The sequence below is a fragment of the Homo sapiens genome, chromosome 3 (genome assembly GCF_000001405.40).
Source record: "Homo sapiens chromosome 3, GRCh38.p14 Primary Assembly".
Classification (NCBI taxonomy): domain Eukaryota; kingdom Metazoa; phylum Chordata; class Mammalia; order Primates; family Hominidae; genus Homo; species Homo sapiens.
In genome coordinates this window covers 51,384,214-51,399,425 of record NC_000003.12, presented here as the reverse complement: position 1 = coordinate 51,399,425, position 15,212 = coordinate 51,384,214, and the positions used below count along the sequence as shown (strand labels likewise).

General features: G+C 53.9%; 3 protein-coding genes across 45 annotated transcripts in view, besides 8 other annotated features; 1 reads left to right on the top strand and 2 right to left on the bottom strand.

The window, feature by feature from the left end:
* Positions 1-3,559, top strand: part of DCAF1 (DDB1 and CUL4 associated factor 1) — a 109,773-nt gene extending 106,214 nt beyond the window's left edge. For 20 of the 43 annotated variants that reach the window (XM_005276755.6, XM_047449273.1, XM_047449272.1 and 17 more), the window contains one exon: positions 599-1,584. In XM_005276755.6, the coding sequence (XP_005276812.1) occupies positions 599-657 (59 nt within the window). In that variant the 3' untranslated portion in view covers positions 658-1,584. Of the gene's footprint in view, positions 1-598 lie in introns of all 43 variants that reach the window. The other 23 variants (NM_001171904.2, XM_047449275.1, XM_047449269.1 and 20 more) reach the window with 4 other exon arrangements.
* On the bottom strand, positions 1,518-8,141 carry RBM15B (RNA binding motif protein 15B). The gene has a single exon (NM_013286.5). The coding sequence runs from the start codon at positions 8,024-8,026 to the stop codon at positions 5,354-5,356; it is 2,673 nt and encodes an 890-aa protein (NP_037418.3). The 5' UTR covers positions 8,027-8,141; the 3' UTR covers positions 1,518-5,353.
* Positions 5,619-6,126: an enhancer, noted in NCBI's record as "H3K4me1 hESC enhancer chr3:51430731-51431238 (GRCh37/hg19 assembly coordinates)". NCBI's record gives its function as "activates a minimal SCP1, AML or CMV promoter by ChIP-STARR-seq in naive H9 embryonic stem cells {active_cell/tissue: H9 hESC(naive)}" and the evidence as "EXISTENCE:reporter gene assay evidence [ECO:0000049][PMID:30033119]".
* Positions 6,127-6,632: an enhancer, noted in NCBI's record as "H3K4me1 hESC enhancer chr3:51430225-51430730 (GRCh37/hg19 assembly coordinates)". NCBI's record gives its function as "activates a minimal SCP1, AML or CMV promoter by ChIP-STARR-seq in naive H9 embryonic stem cells {active_cell/tissue: H9 hESC(naive)}" and the evidence as "EXISTENCE:reporter gene assay evidence [ECO:0000049][PMID:30033119]".
* Positions 7,528-7,587: a silencer, noted in NCBI's record as "silent region_14411". NCBI's record gives its function as "represses an Ori minimal core promoter by ATAC-STARR-seq in GM12878 lymphoblastoid cells {active_cell/tissue: GM12878}" and the evidence as "EXISTENCE:reporter gene assay evidence [ECO:0000049][PMID:35858748]".
* Positions 7,698-7,777: a silencer, noted in NCBI's record as "silent region_14410". NCBI's record gives its function as "represses an Ori minimal core promoter by ATAC-STARR-seq in GM12878 lymphoblastoid cells {active_cell/tissue: GM12878}" and the evidence as "EXISTENCE:reporter gene assay evidence [ECO:0000049][PMID:35858748]".
* Positions 7,818-8,297: a silencer, noted in NCBI's record as "silent region_14409". NCBI's record gives its function as "represses an Ori minimal core promoter by ATAC-STARR-seq in GM12878 lymphoblastoid cells {active_cell/tissue: GM12878}" and the evidence as "EXISTENCE:reporter gene assay evidence [ECO:0000049][PMID:35858748]".
* Positions 8,618-8,667: an enhancer, noted in NCBI's record as "active region_19918". NCBI's record gives its function as "activates an Ori minimal core promoter by ATAC-STARR-seq in GM12878 lymphoblastoid cells {active_cell/tissue: GM12878}" and the evidence as "EXISTENCE:reporter gene assay evidence [ECO:0000049][PMID:35858748]".
* MANF (mesencephalic astrocyte derived neurotrophic factor) lies at positions 10,029-14,135 on the bottom strand. The gene is made up of 4 exons (NM_006010.6): positions 13,990-14,135; positions 13,091-13,218; positions 11,548-11,689; positions 10,029-10,521 (listed from the first exon to the last, which is right to left on the bottom strand). The coding sequence occupies exons 1-4, from the start codon at positions 14,081-14,083 to the stop codon at positions 10,337-10,339; spliced, it is 549 nt and encodes a 182-aa protein (NP_006001.5). The 5' UTR covers positions 14,084-14,135; the 3' UTR covers positions 10,029-10,336.
* Positions 13,940-14,309: a silencer, noted in NCBI's record as "silent region_14408". NCBI's record gives its function as "represses an Ori minimal core promoter by ATAC-STARR-seq in GM12878 lymphoblastoid cells {active_cell/tissue: GM12878}" and the evidence as "EXISTENCE:reporter gene assay evidence [ECO:0000049][PMID:35858748]".
* Positions 14,370-14,719: an enhancer, noted in NCBI's record as "active region_19917". NCBI's record gives its function as "activates an Ori minimal core promoter by ATAC-STARR-seq in GM12878 lymphoblastoid cells {active_cell/tissue: GM12878}" and the evidence as "EXISTENCE:reporter gene assay evidence [ECO:0000049][PMID:35858748]".

Here is a 15,212-nt window from a genome sequence, read left to right as displayed (position 1 = left end):
TTGGCCTGCACCTTTTTGGGAATATAATTTGCAGACTATATTCTGAAATTACAGAGGCATGAATCTAGGGTGACTATCTCTGCCTTGGTGGTCGGTCTTCTGAGGATTGAAGGGAGTGACTAAGGTGTTTCAGAAAAGATACATCTCTCACTTTTGCCTGGTCTTAGCCTGCCTTTCTAGTGGTCTCTTGGGGTCAGGCAGGCCTGTGCGTATCCTTGAAGGACAGCAGAGGCCAAGGGCCATGGAGGCTTACTCACTGCTCCCGTCAGCTCTGCCCCTTTGCAGCCATTTAAAGTGGCATGGGGGGAAGCTTCAGATGGCACTCGCTTGATCCCTTCAGCGCCTCCCAGGCAGGAAGCAGGGGAACTGTGTCCAGGCCCTTAGGAGAGCAAAAGGTCTCCGGGAGAATACAACTGCCAAGCAACAGGAGTATTCTCCAGAGCCAGCTCCAAGGAGTTAATTGATGTGTTTTCTTCTTTCTGGAAACTGGTAGTTAACCTTGCTCGGGCATGAATGTATGTGAGTGCAGGTGCTTCTGTAGGAAAGCTTCCTATAAGCCTAGTGTGTAATCTTGTCTCTCCCTTTTCTTCCCTTTCAGCTGACAGCTCTGACAACTCTGATTTGGAAGATGACATCATCTTATCTCTGAATGAGTGAGGAGCCATCACTGCTTGGAAGAGATTCTTGGCAGGCGAGAAACTGAGTCAAATGAATTCAGAACATATTCCCTTCTCTTTCTCCCAGGGCTGTCTGTCTTTTAAGGAGCTGCATGCCCTGCATTCAGAAGATTATGGCTTAGAGAGCCTCATTGGCACCCGAGGGTCCTTCCAGAATCAATAACCACCACAAAAATGACAACAGGGACTAGGCCCTACTCTGCACCCCCCACATCCACCCCCCACCATTTCCTAGGATGGACATATCTTTCAAGGGGAAAAAAAAACCATGTCTCTGGGGTATTTCACAATATATTTTCTTTGTATAGTGTTCTTTACTTAAAGAACAAGAAATAGTTTTTTATAAAACTTTAAAAAGGAAAAAAAAACAGGCATTTATAACTGAGGGTATGAACTTATATCCACCAGGTCTCTTGTCCCTGCACTTCATTTTCTTTGGAAGAAAATGATGTCTAAAGAACAATATAGAGGCATTTTTACATACGTATTTAAATGAAAAGGAAAATCGTGGTTTCTTAAATTGATAAGGATTAAGAATATTTTATTATAAATATAATATATGATTTTTTAACCTGTTTTGTTGCCTCATATGCTGTCAGGTTAATTTGTTTTCCTTCGTGCCAGAGGTGGGGAGGAAGGCACTCTGTCTGCTGGGTAAATGCCTAAATTCACTCACCTTCATGGTTTGGGGGCAGCATGGTCATTGTGGATATTGGTTTTGTGGAGTTGAGGGAACTTAGGATATAAGTTCACTCCCTCTATTTTTCTTTGTGATTCAGTTTTTCAAAAATCTTTTTTTCTTCCCTTTCTCCCCATTGTGGAAATTACAAATCAAAGGCCTTTTTCTTTAATGTAAAGTGTATTTATTTAAAAAAAATACAAAATAAACTACAAGTCTGTCTTTGTTTATGGCCTTTCCCTATTTTCTTTTACCGAAGTGGGGTGTGTCCCTTTTTTGCAGCTCTAGCCAGGCCATAGAGAAGACACCTTCCAGGAGAGGCAAGGAGAGCATGTTCTGCCCACATAGAGCACTCCAGGGAGGAAAGTAGCTTATACTCACAGTGTCTGCCCCTGCCGTGTAGCTCTCTCATGGGGAGGGCCTGTTTTTGTAAGGGTAATGTGGAGAGAGAGGTCAGGGCTTTGTTCCCTGTGGACGCAGCTCTCTGTTGTCATGTTCTGGATCCAGCAGGCTGCTCCCAAGTACAGATTTGGTAGAACTGGAAAGGGAGGTATTCTGGGAAGTTTTGGAGGATGGAGTTGGCAAAGCTAAGGAGTGAAAGCATTTCGGCCGTCTCTGTAGCTGGGGCAGCGGCCACTAATGTTTTCTGAAAGGGATTGTGACAGTGGACTTGAGCATCCTGGCAGGTTAGGGGTAGTGGAGCTTGTCTGCGTTTGTAGAAAGATACTTCAGAGGCCCCTAAAATTGGCCTATGGTTAAACTGTGTAACCACCAGGCAAGGTACCAGGGATTTCCACCTTTTCACTCACCCGCCCCACCCTGTTTTCCTTCCCACAATAAATAGAAGACCATAGTCTCTTTCTTCCTTTGATTTTGCCCAAATAACAGCTGCTCAGTTTGTTACATAGGTATTATCCAGCTAAAGTGACTTCTCTCCCTTAACAGAGAGAAGAGGGGACAAATTTGGTTGTGAAGTAAACAAGAAACACAAGACGGCTAAAACTCTCCAGGGGCAGGTAAAGCCCTGCTGGGCTCAGAAGCACTATAGAATTTGCTGTACACACTGAAGTGGGTCTGTGTCACACAGGTATTTCTTGGTCCTCTGGAGAGCAGAGGACTCACTCAGCTCTTTGCTTCATGCCTCGCTTTAATGGTAGTAAACACTTAACCAGTGGAATAGTCTGACTGCTGGTACTGATGGCATCAGAAGAAAACAGGTTAACAATCAAGTAGTGAAAGCACTATATTCTAGTCATTAACTCAACGGAGCCAGTCTCAACTCTGCTGGGAGCACCCACAGGTCTCTGTGGGGGAGACAGGGACTATAACAGGGAGGCAGAATTCAGGTTGGCTTGACAACACACCTTAGGAACATGTGCTAAGGGGCTAAGGAGGCATCAGCTGTCTTCCTTATTCTACCAGGGCTGAAAATCGGAGTCACTTAGGAGGCAGCATGAGAACAGTGGCACACCACCAGTGAGGCACATGTTGCCTTTTTGTCTTTAAGCAACACCTTAGACAGGGCCTGAACCCTGGGTGGGGGCACTGGATGCCTGAAGTAAGTAAGTTTTCTCAGTGGGGCAGTCTCATAAAATCACCAGGACATTGACCACCTGACCTCCCCTAACTAGTGCTGGCCAAGGCCTGAGAGTTCACAGAACCTGCTAGGTCTTAAGAGCCAAAGGAAGGAAGTGGTTGAGGGCCAGGAAAGAGAAGGAATGTCATGCCAGGGTGTTACTCCTCACCAAAACTTGGCAGTTCTTTTTGGGGCCATGGGACACCTTTCTCTGAAGAGGGGTTGGATAAGGCAAAGGTTGAAGTGTCTTCTCTAGGCACGTTTTCTAGCATGTTTCCTTTTACTTGGTTCTGTCTCACAAAGCTGGGAGGTAGATGATTCTTCCGGGTCCTGAGCACCTGCTTCATGAAGGAAGATAGGTAGCCCAGAGAAGAAGTTTTGGACTTAACAACATACCAAGGCAGCTCTGGCCTGTGACTCAGGCGTTTGTTGGAGAGCTGCAGGAAAACCACTGCAGTGTGCCTGCAACAGGACAAGACCCACTCCTGTTTCTGGCGGTACCAGCTACCCTGGAATGGTGGCGTGTCCTGCTGTACCCAACTGACTTGCTTAGGTACCTGGCAGCTGTGACCACAGCTCAAGTAAAAAAACAAAAACAGGCAAATAAATAAACATGCTTAACATGTCTTTGTGTTGCTGTTTTGTTATGAACGTGCTTGCTCTCTTGCGAGGCACCTGTCCATTCCACATCACCGAGGGGTCTACGAGAGCACTGCCAAGTGTTCCTGTGGACCAGCATGACCTCTCCACAGCCTGCAGTGAGCCCCAGCCTCTAATCTCAGGTGTCACTCATGCTACCTTATCCTAGCTCCGGTAAGGGAGCAGACCTGGAGAGAGGATGCCACGGCCAGCAGAACCTGGAGTTCCTGGTTATCATCTAGGGGCTCATTCGCTTACCAGAGCTTCTGTTCTCCTCAGCCCTGACAGTGTTCCCTGTTTGAACATCCAAGGTACCAGACACGCTGAAGAATGGCATTTGGGGTGTTCCATGGTGACAAAACTGTGTGCTCTGGTTTTCCTCCCTGGCCCACACTGTCCGCAGTACCTTCCTTACTTACTTGAGACAGGGAAGAAGACGGAATCTCACCCTTCTTCCCAGCTAGAGGGTACCTCCGCATCCCTTTCCTCCCCAACTGGCTTGAGTGGCTTCAAGCTCTAGCACTGCCTAACAAACAAACAAACACCTCAGTGACTTGTGATTTCCCCCCAGAAAAATATCTATTAATTATTTCCCAATGGTCTCCACCTCGGCATCAGGGCACAAGGTGTAGGCACATGCTCTGATCTTGCACCTAGGAAACCGTCATTATCAAGGGCATCCCCTAGTCCACTGTGCTCCCCGGTAAGTACTTCAGTCTAGAGGTTCAGTATCCCCCCACAAATCTCTAGGTATGACTGGACACGGGCCTGCTCTATTACCCATCACCCCTGAACGACCAGAGAAAGCCAAAAATCACAAACAACTAGGCAAAGTTCATGAGTAAATCCAAGGAAGGCTGCCTCCAACCCTCCATTCCAGTATTTGGACTCCCGGGCCCCTGGGAACCTGAGGCAACTCTGTCTCCCAACACTGGCTATCCCTGGGCTGAGTGAGGCTAGAAAGTAGGCCGAACCAGGAGCCTGGACAGATCAGGGGCCCCGAGACCCCCTGGCATCAACAGTGCACAGCTTCTCCTTGTACAAGACTACACAGCTGCTGAAGGCTACCTGCTGCCAAACATGCTGAGTGGGCACTCTGTCCCAAACAAACAGCCACAGCTCAAACTGATGATGATGGACACACACACGGTTTAAGGCAGAAAAAACCATCAGTAGCTGCTGACCACAGGCCTTGCGCTCACCCCATCCCTTCCTTTGCATGGGCTCTACTCAGGCTTGTGTGGCAGCGTCCACAGCCCAAACTGAAGCTTGCCTGCTGTCAGCCAAGATAAAAATGAGTGTAAGTAGAGTCCAGACTGAGCCTGAAGAATTGAGAGGCCGAGAGTGACCCATGCAGCAGTGGTGCTGGAAGGATGACGTAGGGCATTCGTGTACATGCACTAGGGATGTCTTCGATTCTTTTAGCTTGATTGATTAAACCAGGACTCTGAACAGGTTTAAAAATCCATCCTCTGTCAAAGGTTTTACTGACAACTTTCCATACAGTTGGTCAAAAAATAAAAAAATACAGAACCACAGCAGACAGTATCTTGTACACTAGAAATCAACATAACCGGATTCCCTTCTCATCGTTTAAAAAAAAAAATCCCCCAAAATCTAAGAACTTAGTTTTGGTGGTGGACAGGACTTTGATCCCCACCCAAATGAACCAAAATAACCCAGGAGATAATTCAAACCAAAGTGGTAGGGTAGAGAGGGGATCAGATTTTAAAATAACTGCTTTTGTGACACAAACATGACGCTGGGAAAGACAGGCTTGGGCTAGGCAGTGTCTCTGACGATGACTATCACCATGTGTTCTTCTTCTAGCTTGCCCAATGTCCTTAGTGCTGACTGGAGGTACTGCTGGGAAAAGTCGCAGGGTGGGAAGGCGTAGAGCATGCCTGTGCCGTCTCTGCCCTTGGACCCCCCCACTGGCAAGCTGATCACCCCTGCGGCCTGCTTCTGTTTCAAGTAGGAGACCAGGTTCCTGAGAAGCCGCCTCTGCAGACCGGGCTCTACTGTGGGCATCCCCTCAGTGCCAAGCCCACTGGGGGTTGCCTGGGTGGCTAAGAGGACCGCATAGCCGTTGGGGCTCCCCTGCTTGATGCGTCGTGTGACCTCGTCAAGCTTGGGCTGGTCCAGTCGAAGGCGCTGGGCGATCTTCAGCTGGGTCAGCTTGCTCCCAGAAGTGTGGTCTTTGAGGAGACTGCTGATCACCCCCTGGTCCCCCTCTAGGATATGCATAGACGTGGGGAAGCAGCTGTTTTTCAACACCAGAAGCCCATTCCAACCCAGCTGTAGTGTCTGAGCGTACTCTGAAAGATTCTTCAGCTTTTTGGTCTCGTGTTTTGGCTCTTCCAGAGGCTTGGGCTCGGCCTCTGTGGTCCGGTGATTGCGCTCGCTGTCTCTTGCCTTCTTCCCGTGGGAAGAGTCTGCAGCCTCGTGGTGGTGGTGGTGGTGGCCCCGTTCCTCAGCCCCATGTCTGCTGTTGCTGAGGGAGTTGCTGCTGGACTCCTTGGTCCCTTCACTGGAGTGGTTCTCCTTGCGGCTGCGCTCAGGGGTGCGGTCGGAGCCCCGCTCTGACTGCTGCCCACTGCCCTTGGTCCTACTCCGTTCCTCATATGGTGAATGGGTTGTCCTCCCACGGTCACTGGAAAGGCTTCTCCGTTTCCGCCTCTCTTCCCAGGGCTTGGGCAAACCACGGTCTCCATCTGCCCCCCAACGCTCACCACTCCGGCTGCGCACTGAGCGACTGTAGCCCTCAAGGCTGTTTCGGCGGTCAGAGCTTTTACTGGGGCTGGTCCAGTCCCCTTCCAAAAAAGTCCGGTCTCGGTCTGAGTACAGAAGGTGTGGGGGCGTCCTGTCCCGCACCAGGTCGGCGTCCAGGTTGCGGTGCCGGGTGTATCCATCTGTGAGCAGCTCATAATGCACAGGGAGTGGCGAGGGCTGGTACTGCTGGGGGTACCGAGTCTCCTCTGCTTTGGCAAAATCCACGCGGAGCCTGCGGTCTGGTCCACCCAAGGGAAAACCCCTCATTTTAGCACAGGCGGCCTGGGCTGCGTCCAAGCTCTCGTACTGAATATAGGCAAAGCTATCTCCTTTGACGTGATCAATGGTCCGAATGCTCCCAAAGCGGTCAAACTCTCGGGCCAGAGCCGCCAGTGACGTGTTAGGTCCCAGGCCACCCACCCAGAGACGAGTGGTGGGGTTGGCCTTGCCATAGCCTATCTTAATGGGGTTGCGACCAATCACTCGGCCCGACATGGCCACCTTAGCCCTATGGGCCATGTCCAGGTTCTGGAACTTGAGGAAGGCATAGGCACCGCCCTGGCCACGGGCAGGCCTCTTGATGACCACCTCCTCGATGATGCCATATTTCTCGAAGGCCCTTCGCAGCTCCACCTCAGATACGCTGTGGTCCAGGTTACCAATGAAGAGGTTGCGCGTGGCCCGCTGGTCATCCTCGGGCATCAGGTCCTCCTCACACACAGCTGGGTAGCCATAGGGGCGCCCACGGTCGTCGTACAGCCCGTAGTAGTCCAGGGCCCGCTCCCGGGACAGTCCCACGGCGGCGGCAGCAGCGGCATCCAGGGCGAAGGCTGCGGCGGCGTGACGGGCACGGGGCTCCCGCAGGGGCGGGGCAGCGACGGGGGACAGCGAGCGCTGCTTGTACTGGTAGCCTCCGTGTAGCGGGAGGTAGCCGAGCGGGTCGGCGGGCGCGGGCGGCCCTGGGGGAGGCGTGGAAGCGGCGGCGCTGCTGCTGCTACTTCGCCGACTGCTCCCGCCGCCGCCACGCAGGTACACGGGCTCTACCTTGAGCGGGCGGTCGTAGAGCAGCAGCTGCCGGGCCAGGGCGTGCTGGCGGGCCTCGCGTGCGTCCTGTGGGTGCCGGAAATTCACGTAGGCCACACGGCCCAGCTCAGGCGTGTGCGACAGGCGGAGGCTGATCTCGCCGAAGCGCTTGAACTGGTGGAAGAGCCGGTCCTCGAGGTGCTCGGCGGGCAGCGCGGGGCTCAAGCTGCTGATGAGCAACGTCTTGTACTCAGGCGCGGCCGCGGATGAGCCGGGACACGCGGGCTCGGCCCCAGGCGGTGGCGGAGGCGGCGGCAGAGGAGACGCGCGGGGCGACATGCCGGAGGCGCCCGGGTCCCCCGAGGCCTTGCCGCCGCGTCCCCCGCCGCCAGCGCCGGAGCCCGAGGAGCGCCCGCTACTCGCGCGGTGATTCGCGTCCCCGGTGCCGCGGCCGTCGCGATGCCCGCCCCCGCCGCTTCCGCTGCCGCGGGGTTTGTCGCGGGCCCGCGCTGGAACCGGGTGCTTGGCGCCGCCAGAGGCCTTGTGCGCCGCCCGCCGCCCGCCCGCCTCCGCCTCCCGTTCGCGCTCCCGCGGACGCTTGGCGGACGATGACGAGCCGCGCCCGCTCGGGCTAGAGTCTCGCTCGCTCTGCCGCTTCATGGCGCTGGCGCGGCGGGCGGGCGGCCCGTAGGTTTCTCACAGCGGCGGCGGCGGAGGCGGCGGCCGAGGAGGCAGCGCCCCCGGCGCCGCCATCTTGGACAAAAGGACTCGGCGCGGCGGTGGCGGCGGGGCGGGGCGGGAGCGGCGCCGAGGGGCCGGGCATTGCGTTATCAAGGTGCGCCGTCCTGCCACGTGACTCTGCGGCGGGCGGAGCAAGACCCGCGCCGGGCCTGCCTCATCGCGCTGCGTCGCCCAGTGCCAGGTGACCCTGTGAGTGCTGGGTGAGTGGGACCGGCCGCGCGCTCTGGCGCCACCGCGCGGCCCGCATGGCCGATGCTTGAGGCTACGCGGAGTGTAGTGAACCCTGAGAGGCCGGCGAGACGACCTAACGCTTTGTGCTCCCAGCCGTGCTTTGCCGCTCTGGGTCCAGCTATCTCCTCTTGCAGGCACTGGAGCCCGCGCTGATTGGAGCAGGAGTGGCAGCTTCCATGGCCGTTGGGATCTGGGGCATTGACCCAGTCAGTGGTCTCTTTATGTAGTATCCCCTCAGTCCTAGGACTAGGCTTGAGCAAACCCCACATCACCCTCGTTGGCATCTCCTGCCTGGGATCCGGCGTTGACGGCGCCAAGGACTAATGCATGCCTATCCTTAGACCCTGCCCAGGACCCAAGGCCCACATTCTGCGCATTCTCCACGTGCAGGTTCACCTGCAGCAGTCCCCGAAAAGGCCGTGAGGACAATTGCTGTCACGCAGGTAATAACCGAAAGCAGAGACAAGCCTGCAGTTGCAGTTGATGGAGTTGGAATAGACTCTTTAACGCCACTCTTGGGTCCCACCCTCTTCTGTGGGCAGATAGCAGGCTGGAAAGGTAGGGCCGTAAGAGCCAAGGATGAAGAGGCCATATGCACAGATAGTGCCAGCAGTTATCACACCTTGCCACGCTGACCCCTCGCTGGCCAGTACCCTCCTGTTCATCACCTTCAGGACGACCTCTTCTCCCCAGGTGAGGTGAGGGAAAGGGTGCCCAGGTGCTCAAGCCCATTGAGGAAGCTTTCATTCTCCAAGGACAGTTGCTGGAGCCATGGTAGAACCTGACCCAATTTCTGGCACAGAATCCTTGCGATGGGGAAGAGCAGACCAAGTCATGCCCTCTTCGCACAAAGAGAAAGCAGCTCCTGGAGTAGCTCAGGCAGGTGCAGGGGGAAAGGTCTTGGAAGAAAGCAATGGGTTCCACAGCAGCAAGGCCTCCTACAGGCAAACTGAGCTTAGGAGACACAAGTGAAGTGATCTGAGGCAAGACCAATTACTTGGAAAGCACTGGTTCTTAGTCCGTCCTTTCAGGTGGTTTCTACAGGTGTCTTCATTGAGCCACAGCTCACACTAACAACTGGGTTTCCTAAGCACCAGTGCCACAGAGAGTGGCTTAAGAAGCAGACTCCAGCAAAACCCTGGACCTCAACTGTTAGACTAATCTAGGGTAAACAAAGGCAAAAGGCAGCTTCCCACTCCCTCTTTGTATAAGCTGACTCCTGCCAGACTTGCAAAAACTGGAACAGACATCAGAGGCTTGGAATGGACAAAAGAGCAAGTAGGTGGCCAGGCCAACAGCATCTTTATAGAGATGTCAGTGCTGACGTGCACTGATTGAAGATATCCTTGTGGAAAAACCACACTCCAGACACCCTGTCTTGCTTGTACTGAGCCACAATATAAGGCCCTCCAATGTATCCCAGACTCACTCCTCCTAGAGCTGTGGCCTCCAGCTCTCTTGGGCGGGTAAGACAGATACTGTATCAAGGGGCAGGGTATCAAGCGCAGCACCCCCCGCCCCCGCCACCTCCTTTCTGCTGAGTGCCTGCTGCCCTCTAGTGGTACACACCCACACACATCAGCTGGCCCCAGCCCCTATGTCCTGCTCTGGTATTTTCAGCACTGGTGGGTTGAGAGATAAATGGGAATGAATAACCCCCCAAACTCTGCAACTGGAAAGCAGAAACTGGTAGGAGCCTCCTGGGGCAAAACCCCATTTTGGTATTCACTATAATTCTGCAAGGACAGCTAGAAATTTTTTTTCTTTAATAAAAAAATCCCAGACACACTTTGAAGTCCTAGAGTACACCAGCAACAGAAGGAAGGGAATCCCCTCATGGGGGTACTGTAGGGCCAGCATCATCAGGAAAGCTCCAGGCTTCACATCTGATACAGTATTGTCAGGAGCCCACTTAAAAAATAAATTACAAAAAGGCTGTTTTGGGAGTAAGCAGTTGAACTGTTTTTTCCCCCTCAGGTGCAACAGAGATTGAGCAGACTACAAATCGGTCCGTGCACTGGCTGCCTTGGGGGCATATTTAGGCATCAGTTCATTTATCTTCCGGATGTAGTCAGACTTTTCTGCACAGCCTTTGCATGTCTCCCCCCAGTCATCCAGAATCTTCTTCAGCTCTTTAACTCGGAGCTTCTTCAGGTCCACTGTGCTCAGGTCGATCTGCTTGTCTGGAGGAGAGAGCAGGGAGAGTCACTGACTGGGTGGAGCACCTGCAGTCCCCCAGTAGTCCCAGAGTATGTCACTCCCTGAACGGCCAAACCAGCCCTACTGGTTTCAGAGGAAGAGACATTTCCAGACACATTTACAGGCATGTCAGTGCCTACTGCCCCCACAAGAGGGAACTAGCCTCTTCACCAGGAAGGCTGGCTACATATTATGTCTACTACAGATATGCAGCGTGAACAAGGATAGGGACAGAGGCCACACTGTCCTTATAGGAGAAACATGGTTCCCATCTTCCAAGTGCCTCTGACATAGTCACCACATACTAACAACTCCAGGCTGGTGCCAAAGAGCAGCCCTGCTCAGGCCTTTGAGTTAGGAACTTACTCTCCATGACCACAGTGACCTGGAGCCAACTGGACCTGTACCAGGAAGACGCAAGTAGGTGAACACAGGTCCTTGGCCATTCAAGTTTTTCAGAAGAGGCCCTGACTGTTTCTGAAGACTGGGACTATGTACACCAGAGACCCAGTCAGCAAGAGAGATGCTGTAGTTCCTAACTCTTGGGCTTGCATGCTTGGACATAGTGTTTCTTTTCAGAATAGTAAAAATCACTGGGGCTTCAGAGCTTGCAGCCAGAACCAGCCTGTTAAACCCAAGTCGTACTATGTCCCTTCTCTGCTGAAAAACTCCTAATGCTCCTAACTTCACGCAGATTAAAAGCCCTCACCAGCCTGCAATGCTCTCTGACTTGCCATGCCACTGGACACCTTTATCCTGCCTGTATCCTCTTCCATTAGCTGGCCTCTTGGCTAATCCTCACCTCCTTCAAAGTTTGCTGAAATATCACTTCTTCAATAAGGCCTATTCTGACCTCCACCCACTTCCATGCCAGAGCCCTCCAGCATTTAGCACCATCTGTCATACAATACAACCCACTCATGACTCTAGCTCATCATTTTCCTCTCCCAGATGGGAAACAAACCCAGAAGGTGCACAGCATTCATTAAGAAAGGACTAGGCATACTCACCATACTTAAGCTCACATATCTGGCTGTCCTTCTTCTTAAGCTTCTCACAGATCTTCTCCACAGGGATGTGGTGGGCCAGAGGCTTTGATACCTCATTGATGATTTTGGTGGCTGCATCATCTGTGGCCCCGATATAGTAGCACTGGAGCAATAAAGGACAATGGCCTTCAGGAGGTGCTTGAGAGCCATCTCCTCCAAACATACTGACACCTTGAAACATCATCTCTCTGTAGGGCCTTACTTGTGTTTTGAGATAGGGCTCCCTGTCACCCAGGCTGGAATGCAGTGGCATGATCACGGCTCCCTGCAGCTTCAATCTGTTGGGTGGTGATCCTCCCCTCTCAGCCACCCTAGTAGCTGGGTCTACCGGTGTGGGCCACCACACCCAGCTAACTAAAACAATTTTTTTTTTTTTTTGAGATAAAGTTTTGCTCTGTCACCCAGGCTGGAGTGCAGTGGCGCAATCTTGGCTCGGCTCACTGCAACCTCCGCCTCCCAGGTTCAAGCAATTCTCCCTGCCTCAGCCTCCTGAGCAGCTGGGATTACAGGCGCCTGTCACCATGCCTGGCTAATTTTTGTATTTTTTAGTAGAGATAGAGTTTTGCCATGTTGGCCAGGCTGGTCTTGAACTCCTGACCTCAGGTGATCCACCCACCTCGGTCTCCCAAAGTGCTGAGATTACAGGTGTGAGCCACCACGCCTAGCCTAAAAATTTTTTTGTGCAGACAGGATTTCACCACTTTGCCCAGGCTGATCTCAAACTCCTAAGTTCAAGCAATCCTCCCACCTTGGCCTCCCAAAGTGCTAGGAAGACAGGCATGAGCCACCGCACCTGGCCCACAGCGGCATTTTTCGGTGCCCTGCCTGTACTGGTAGTCAGATTCAGCCAGTGTAAACCCTGGACTCTTAACACATGCTCAGTCCAAGCTGACAGCCACCAAATGAATTTAAGTGTCACCAGGGTTCAAACCTTTAACAGAGAGAAAAGCCAGAGACTGTCAGAGAAATTCAAGTTAGAAAACCCATTGCTTCACTAGGGCTTTTGTCTTGGATTCGGCCCTTGCCTATCCTGTAGGCACCCTGTCACCTTCTCCTGTCCACATACATGCCACACTCTTTCAGGCCTCTGGGCACTCACACTGCTGTTCCCTGTATGGGATGGTCTTACCCCACTTCAATGATAACCCTTCCTCAGAGACTTCTTGGCCACTCTAAATCAGCACCTGCTGGTCCATTTTCTTCATGACACCCAGACATTGCATTATTTGTGTGTCCGACTGTCACTTCTTTCCCCTGATATTCCCAGTGCCTAGCACATAGTAGGTGCTTAATAAAGACTAACAGGATAAAAAAAAATCACAGTTGCAGAACACATGCTGCTTTGGGAAGGACATAGAAGCACTTCAGTCTTCTCACATTAGTTTATGGAGAGAGTAGCTGGCTTCCTGAACAGAGAGGTGGGCAAGGCCTTTTATCAAACGGCTGGTGAAGCCGAGGGTTAACATGAGCCAGGGCCAGTTGGGGAGGATCACCAGCTACTTACCAACCGATTCTCTTTGCCTCTTGCTTCCCGGCAGAACTTTATAAGTTCGTTTTCAATAGTGGCTGGTGAGAATGTGACATCTCTGTCTTTGAGGTCCTGGTAAAATCTTCCCAGATAAGAAATACAAACTGGAAAAGAGAGGGACGGGAGATGCTCAGCAATCACCAAGCTGTTCCAATCCACCAGAAAAGAACTCCGCCAGCAATTTTAATAGGAGACACGGAGATGAATCATTAGAGGTGAGCTTTTCCATCACCGATTTTTCTCAGGTGTCTACAGGTAGACAGAACCCGGTTCCAAGTGGCGGGGGTCCCCTGGTACACCCAGGGCATCAAAGGACCAAGCATCACCCAATGACCTATAAACGACTTCTCCCTGCTCCTTTCATCAAGTTTAAGCCCATGGTGAACACGTGTCCTTGAGACGGGACTCACTGTGACCTCATAAATGGAGAGACTGGAAGGTGAAGAGAAAAATGATCAAAATGCTGCTGCTAATTTCCAAATACAACAGCGGACCCAGAGGTGCAGCTTCGTGATCCCAACAGACAGGGCGCAGCACCCACGGCCAGCCCTGGAGCTCCCGACGCCGAACGGGGAGCGGTAACCTCTAGATGGTGGTGGGGACAATAACTCAGGAGTGATGGAGATTTCAGGACAAGTTTTCAACGGGATCTAGTCTCAACTTTTCTTCGTCGGACCAATGTTTTCTAGGCCCAAGAAAGATTTACTAGGGCGGGCGCCGGAGCCTCCTCATGCAGGCCCCGCGGGGACCTGCTGTCGCCCCCGCCCCCGCCCCCGCCCTCGCCCTCTTGGCCCCGGCCGTCTGGTGATGTTGTGGGGTTCAGCGCCGCCGCCAGAACGGTCACGGAGCGCGGCCCCCGGCCCCCTATCCCGCACCTTCGCAGTCGCCCGGCCGCAGCGCCCGGCTGCCCGGCAGCACGCTCAGAGCCAGCGCCACCGCCAGCCCCTGCGTGGCCCACATCCTCCTCATCCTCCTCATCCTCCTCCTCCTCCTCCTCCTCCGCTGCCGCCGCCGACCGACTGAACCGCACCCGCCGCGCCGCACCGCCTCCAAGTCCCGGCCGCGCGCCGTAGCTCCCCATTGGCGGGGGGCCCCCCGGCGCCCTCCCACATGCCACTTCCCCATTGGTCCAGGAGCCGCGAGCCCAGACGGGCGGCTCCACGCTGCCCTCCCTCATTGGCTGGTGGTGTCTGAGCCCTAGACAGTTGTCGGCCGCTGATTGAACCCGGGCTGGCCGCAGGAAGCGACTACAGCAGCGACGGAAGCGGTGTGGGCCGCCATCTTGGGTAAGGGCAGCGACTGTGGCTGAGGCTGGGTACTGCTAGCTGAATGGGGTTCGGCCACGCCTTACATCTGTTGAGTTGACCCGCGTACCCCTGCCCTGGGCCCCAGGCTCCCTCGAAAACCCCTGCTGATCTCCTCGCCCGGACTCCGACTCGTGGTGCAGGAGTTCTGGGGTCAGCCAAGACAACAGGTTAGGCAGGAAGGGCGGGCGGCCGCAGGCAAGGCTCAAAGAGGTTTCTTTTTTCTTCTTTCATTCGCGTGGGCAACGGATCCAACCTTTGAAAGCCCACCTGCTGATCCTCCACCTGACCGGAGCCCGCCGTGCATAGGCTGATAGGAGACGTGCGGGGTGGACGGACTGCGGGACATCTGAAGGAAGGGCTCAAGGCGCGCCAAGCTCAAAGCTGGGCCGCCACTCTAGACCGTGGAGGGAAGCGCCCGGGCCAGATCATCGGTCGAGGACATGGGGTCGCCTCAGAGTGGGAAGGTGAGGGGCTCGGGAGGTGCCCTTACAAGCTCTGAATCGTGGCTTGGTGGCTGGCCAGCCTCCTCCTGCCTCCCCGGCTAGGCCCTCGGGGTCCCCCGCTGCCGTGGGACCTCCTGAGTGGGGTCCCGGGAATCACCAGAGAAGCACTGGAGGATGTTTCCTTTTCGACTGCCCTCCTTTCAAGTGCCCTCCTGGCTGCCTGCCTTCAAGGCAGGATGCGGGAACCGTTGGCTCTACTCAGTGCAAAAAGGACATGTCTATAGGGCTAAAAAGGGCTTGGAGCCCGGCGACAAGGGTTGGAGAGGGGCACATCCTCTGCTCCCATTC